Source organism: Homo sapiens, chromosome 9 (genome assembly GCF_000001405.40).
Source record: "Homo sapiens chromosome 9, GRCh38.p14 Primary Assembly".
Lineage (NCBI taxonomy): Eukaryota > Metazoa > Chordata > Mammalia > Primates > Hominidae > Homo > Homo sapiens.
In genome coordinates, this window is record NC_000009.12 from 134,240,695 (window position 1) to 134,247,770 (window position 7,076).

The following is a 7,076-nucleotide window of genomic DNA, read 5'->3' on the forward strand; positions in this document are numbered from 1 at the left end:
ATGCTCCATCCAGTTCGGGGAGGCTCAATTAGGCACCTACTGTGTGCTAGGCTGGAACTGGCTCAGCATTTCCCAGGCGCACTGGTCCAGAAGGGGCTCCGCAACAGGGGGTCCAGGCTTCCCGAGGAGACAGGGTGGGAAGGAGGAAGTGGCTTTACCATGGAGAGACGGGTGCACCTCAGCCCTTCACTCAAGGCCAGCACCAACCGTGGCGTGCCCCGCTGATGGTGTGTCCCTGATGTGTGTGGGGAGAGGGTGCGTTGCCCCCATGCTCTTCCTCCCAAACTTAACCACCCATCACCCAGCCCAACTGTGAGGCATGCAGCAGACGGATCTCGCCCAGGAATGCCCTACAAACACCTGAGCAGCGCTGCTCAAAACTGCCCAGCATTGAAGACAAGGAAATCGGGAGGCCAAGGCGATCACCTGAGGTCAGGAGTTTGAGACCAGCTTGGCCAACACAGTGAAACCTTGTCTCTACTAAAAATACAAAAAAAAAAAAAAATTACCTGGGCGTGGTGGGTGGCATGGGCCTGTAGTCCCAGACACTTAGGGGCTGAGGCATGAGAATTGCTTGAACACAGGAGGCAGAGGTTGCAGGGAGCCGAGATCATGCTACTTCACTCTGGCCTGAGTGACAGAGCAAGACTTCAGCTCAGAAAAAAAAAAAAAAGAGGCAGGGCGCTGTGGCTCATGCCTGTAATCCACAGCACTTTAGGAGGCTGAGGTGGGCGGATCACGAGGTCAGGAGATGGAGACCATCCTGGCTAACACAATGAAACCCTGTCTCTACTAAAAATACAAAAAATTAGCTGGGCGTGGTGGCGGGTGCCTGTAGTCCCAGCTACTCAGGAGGCTGAGGCAGGAGAATGGCGTTAACCCGGGAGGCGGAGCTTGCAGTGAGCCGAGATTGTGCCACTGCACTCCATCCTGGGTGACAGAGCGAGACTCTGTCTCAAAAAAAATAAAAACCAAGACGAGGAAAGTCTGGGAAACCGTCACAGCCAGGAGGAGCCCAAGGGGAGGAGATATCATATGGTGTCCGGGATGGGGTCCTGGACAGAAAAGGGACACTAGGTAATGAAGGAAATCTGGCTAAAGTGGATTTTGGTCACGAGCAGGTGGATGGCTGTGACAGGCCCACGCCAATGCGGATGAGGATGAGGGGTGGCAGGGCGAGGGGATATGAGTGCTTTCTGGGCTGTCTTCTCTGTTTTGCTGTAAATCTCAAACCATTCTGAAAACATACAATTTGTCAACCAAAAAGGGGTTCCAGGGCAAGCACGGGGGAACGCTGCCCTGCTGTGAAGTCACTGGGCAACCCTGGGTGGGAATATTGGTGTTCAAGGCACTTGGCAATCACCTGGTTATCAGCCACGGCTCAGGCTCCAGAGCTCACGTCAGGTGGCTCCTTAGGGAGTTTAATACACAGAGGGTCCAAAAAGAGGTGTATGGAGGGTGAGATTCGCACCCCTTGGGGGCCCCGTGGAAGAAGGGGCCACCTGTAGGAAGTGAACTACAGAGGCCGCCCCTGCCAGAGCTGGTGCCTGAAGCAGAGATGTGGGCAGATACCTGGGCCTCCCACCCTCCCACCCTCCCAGTCCCGGCCAGAGCCTCTCAGGGTCAGAACACAACAAGAACCTGGAAATGAACTTTGCTGGGCCAGTGCCCCACGCTACTGAGCAGAGCAGGGAAAGTGCAGAGGGATCTGGGGTTCAGCAGACAGAGCCCTGCCGCCCCCAGCGATCAAGGTCCTTGCAGAAAAGAGGCAGAATCAGGGCTCAGAGAGAGAAAGGACAAATCAAGCTCACACAGCCAGGGAGAACTGCGATTGGAATCCGGGGCTCCCGCCTCCTCTAGCCTAAAGATGCTGACTACTTTCTTGGTCACAGACCACGGTGGGGATATGATGCAAGCCGCAGGCCCTCTTCCTGGAAAAATGCGTGCAGGTAAATACTTAGTGCACAATCTCAAGAGATTCAAAGACTCCTTGCAGCCCAGTCTAGGACCCCAGGCGAAGGTCTCTTCAGTGGCTCTTGAGTCAGTTCTGCCCAGAGATCAGAGCCACTAGAGTTCTGCCTAGAGTCAGGCGAGACTAGAGAACTGGGGTCCCGTGGGCCCCGCCTGCACCCCTTTGGAGGAAGGCAGCCAGGCCGAAGCAATCGGGTTCATAGTGGGGTCTTGGGAAGGGCCTGGCTCTGTGCTTTCTCACACGTTGAGCGCTGACGGCACACGCCTGTCTGATGATGGCTGGTCCAGGCTGCAGCATCTCTGTGGCTCACGGCTCCGTGCTGCCCCTTCTGCGCCTTCCTCGCCGTGGTGGCTGTCGGGTCCCTTACGTTTCAGGGACCATCCTGAAAATAAACAGCATGGGAGAAATCTTCCTGCAGGGAGCCAGGAGGACGCAGCGGCTCAGGGATTCAGGCATGCCAGAGCTCAAATCCCGAGTGTCACTTCCCAACGGGGCCTCCTAGACCCTCCCCCTGGACTTGCTGTGAGGGAGACAGGAGAGCTGTGTAAAGCCCAGCAGGCGCTGGCTGATGCGTGGACCATGGCGACCATTGCTGCAATTTTTTTATAATCAGAAATATAGGCTGGGCGCGGTGGCTCATGCCTGTAATCCTAGCACTTTGGGAGGCTGAGGCGGGCAGATCACTTGAGGCCAGGAGTTTGAGACCAGCCTGGCCAACATGGCGAAAACCCATCTCTACTAAAAATACAAAAAAAAATCCAGGCATGGTGGCGGCGTGTGCCTGTTATCCCAGCTACTCAGGAAGCTGAGGCAGGAGAATCACTGGAACTCGGGAGGCGGAGGTTGCAGTGAGCCAAGATCATGCCACTGCACTCCAGCCTGGGTGACAGAGCAAGAGTCTGTCTCAAAAAAAAAAAAAAAAAGAAATAAAGAAGTTGGATGAGCGTCACCTCCACACTCCAATCTTGCGTGTTGACATCTTACCTTTGGGATGCCTTTACAAATAAAATACTTGGTAAAAGTGTCTTGTATTTGGACTCTGTAGTGCTGAACATAGTGTGCGTATGTGTGTGTGTGTGTGTGTGTGTGTATATATATATATATAAAATGCCAATATAGTTAATTAAAATACCACTTAATGACTATTGCTTCTGGCTGTTATGAAGTAGCCAGCATAGATCACTACGTAGACAAGCTGGGTAAAATACGAATGCTCTTTTTGAAGACACTGGTGAGCAGCTGAGCCAATCGGGACTCAAAGGGCTGAGATCTCAGCAAAAGGGGAACCGCGGAGAGATGAGCCAACGCTGTTGCTCGCTTTTCATTCAGGGGATTTCCCAACTCCTGCTGCAAGACAAGAGACCATAAACACCCGTGAAGAGGAAGGGAAGCCAGCGGAGTTTCACAGGGCTGACACTGGAGTTTGGACCTGTCAAGGTAGCCAAAAATTGAGTGGCGATCTGAAGATCCTGGGGAGAAAGGTGGTGAAAATAAGTGAGTTTGATGCTCAGAGGTTTCCCTTCTAGCTGTTTGGTGGATGAACGTGTGCAGAGCAAGAAGCTAAGAAGCCCAGAAGAAAGCTACTGAGGTGTCAGAATTTCTAGAGTGTCAGGTAGCCCAGAATGAGAGCTTAGGACTTGCCAAGGAGGAGAAGCTCTAGAAGACGCTCCAGGCTCTCAGCCGGGATGCCAGGAAGCTTAATCGCTATGAAAGGGAACCAGAGGTATAGCCAAGCCTTCACAAATGTCAAGGAAAACCAAGAAACAGGACCCAGAGAAAAAAAATGATGACAGCAACAGCCCCACAGACTGCTCAGCTATTGGTAGCATCACAGATGGGCTTTCAAATTATTATTCGAGCAAATGGATGATAAAACAGAGAATTTTGCTAGACAACTGGAATCTATTACAAAATGGAAATTCTAGAAAAATGCAATGATTAAAATTAGAAACTTAATAGACAGGCTTAACAGTAGGCTAGGAAATAGAGTTTTAATAAAGTGAAATGATAAGTCAGGAAAAAAACTAGGAAGAAACAGAGTGAGTAGAAAAGGATAAGAAACAGACAGAGCATGCCATACACATGGGGTCTGGGGAGCAGCTCCATCATGCAGGTAACAGGAATTTTAGGAGGGAGAGAGAGAGAAAGAGAAAGAGAGAGGATAGGGAAAAAGCAATGTTTGAAGATAGAATGGCTGAGGATTTTCCAAAATCGATGAAAGAAAACAAACCCCAGATAGAAGCTCTCCACAGGCTAAGCAGGCTAGGTCCAGGGAGAAGCCACCTAGGCATATTATGGTAAAACTACTGTAATCCAAATACAGAAATCTTAAAAGTAGCTGGAGGTAAAGACAAATAGACAAATTACCTTCAAGGGGACAATAAGATTATTTTTCAGCAGAAATGATGGGCTCCAGAAGACAAGGGAGCAACGTGTTTACGGTGCTGGAAGAAAAGAGCTGTCACTCCAGAGTTCTAGACCCAGAGAGGAAGGACATCCTTCAGATACCAAGGAGACTCATCTCAGATCAGAGTTTTGGATGTGTCCATCTCCACCATGAGCTGGGGAAATCTAGGCGATGGAAACACAACTTGTGCCCCTCCGTGCCCCCTGGCACATGGCAGGTGCACACACACAGTGGGTGGAGACAGGAAGAGCGAGACTGGGCGTGTCCACCTGGCAGGCTGGTGAGCCATGAAGCCGAGTGTGGGGCACAGTGCCTGAAATGCTAGTTTCGAACCCCAGCTCTGCCGCTTAGTAACTGTGAGCAATGATTAATCTTATGTGTCAACCTGGCCGGGCGCGGTGGCTTGTGCTTGTAATCCCAGCACTTTGGGAGGTTGAGGTGGGTGGATCGCCTGAGGTCAGGAGTTTGAGACCAGCCTGACCAATATGGTGAAACCCCATCTTTACTGAAGATACAAAAATTAGCTGGGTGTGGTGGCGCATGCCTGTAGTCCAGCTACTCGGGAGGCTGAGGCAGAAGAATCGCTTGAACCTAGGAGGCGGATGTTGCAGTGGGCCGAGATCATGCCACCGCACTCCAGCCTGGACAACACAGTGAGACTCCATCTCAAAAAAAAAAAAAAACTTACGTGACAACCTGAATGGGTTACGGTGTGCCCAGGCATTTGGTCAAACATCATTCTGGATGAGATTAACATTTGATTGGTGGGCAGTCTGGATGAGATTAACATCTGATTGGTGGGCAGTGTGAAGCCAATTTTCCTCCCAGTGTGAGTGGGCCTCATCCAATCCTGAGAAGGAAAGAGTTGCCCTGCCTGGCTGTGGAGCTGGGACTTCGGTCTTCCCTTGCCCTTGAACTGACGCTTACACCATTGGCACTCCTGGGTCTCCACTTTGCCTGCTGCAGATGTTGAGACTTGTCAGCCTCCATGGTCACGTGCACAATTCCTTATTTTATAGATCAGTAGGAATATACATAGAAAGTGATGTGAACGTATGTCTCCTATTTGCCCTGTGTCTGCGGAGAATACTCACTAATACACTGTGTGACCCTGGGCAAGTTACTGAACCACGCTGAGCCTCAGGTTCCACATGGACAAATGGGGACAGGAGTAACACCCATCTCATCTGTCTCATAGGAGCTGATGAACAACAGCATGTAAAGTTTTTAGTTGCTCAATAAATACTAGTGATTGGCCGTGTTAAGGCCTTTAGCCCTAGATGACCACCAAAACAAAAGTGAAAGCAAAATAAACACTTTTCCAGCAAAATAAAAACCAAGATAATCAATTTCCAACAGACCTAAACTACAAGAAATACTAAAGGGGTTCTCCAGGCAGAAGAGAAATCATCCCAGATAGAGACGTGGATATGCAGGAAACAGTGACGAGCCACGGAACAGGTAAAGATCTGGGTCAAGGTAAATAAGTACCGACTTTTCAAATAATAACGATTTCTTGGCCAGGAGCAGTGGCTCACACCTGTAATCCCAACACTTTGAAAGGCCAAGGCAGTTGGGTTGCTTGAGCCTAGGAGTGAAAGACCAGCCTGGGCCACACAGGGAGACCCTGTGTCTACAAAAAATTTAAAAATTAGGCTGGGCGTGGTGGCTCACGCCTGTCATCCCAGCACTTTGGGAGGCCAAGGCAGGTGGATCACCTGAGGTCAAGAGATCGAGACTATCCTAGCCAACATGGTAAAATCCCATCTCTACTAAAAATACAAAAATTAGCTGGGTGTGGTGGCGGGCACCTGTAGTCCCAGCTACTCAGGAGGCTGAGGCAGGAGAATCGCTTGAACCCAGGAGGCGGAGGTTGCAGTGAGCCAAGATCACACCACTGCACTCCAGGCTGGGCGACAGAGCGAGACTCTGTCTCAAAAAAAAATAAAAAAATAAAAAAGAAAAAAAGAAAAAAAAAAAGAAAAAGAAGAAAAAAAGAAAGAAAGTTTGAACTAGAAAGAGTAAAAAGGTAGAAAGATGTTTTATGAAAACACTGACCAAAAGAAAGATGTCTCTATAACACCAGCTAGTATAAACTTGGAGGCAAAAAGTATTACAAAAAATAAAGATGAACTGTTTTTTGAGACAGAATCTCGCTCTGTTGCCCAGGCTGGAGTGCAGTGGCACAATCGTGGCTCATGCAACCTCCGCCTCCAGGGTTGGAGTGATTCTCCTGCCTCAGCCTCCTGAGTAACTGGGACTACAGGCGTGCACCACTATGTCTGGCTAATTTTTGTATTTTTAGTAGAGACAGGGTTTCACCATGTTGGCCAGGCTGGTCTTGAACTCCTGACCTCAGGTGATCTGCCCACCTCAGCCTCCCAAAGTGCTGGGATTACAGGCATGAGCCACCATGCCCGGCTAAGATGGACATTTCATAATAAAAGAATTATACCACCAGCAAAATGTAACAAACTTTTATGCACCTAATTATGAAGCTTCAAAATATGTAAGGAAAAATTTGGCTAAAAGGAAAAAGATGGACAAATCCATAATCACACTTTTTCTTATAACCAATAGGTCAAGCAGACCAAAAAATCACCAGAAATAAAGGAGATCCAAATACGAGGAACAAACTTGAACTAAATGACAAATATAGAACACAGTGTCCAACAACAGAATAGACATTATTTTCAA

The 7,076-nt window shown here is 49.3% G+C and overlaps 1 annotated feature.

Annotated features, from left to right (window-relative positions):
• Window positions 3,245-3,364: an enhancer, noted in NCBI's record as "active region_29275". NCBI's record gives its function as "activates an Ori minimal core promoter by ATAC-STARR-seq in GM12878 lymphoblastoid cells {active_cell/tissue: GM12878}" and the evidence as "EXISTENCE:reporter gene assay evidence [ECO:0000049][PMID:35858748]".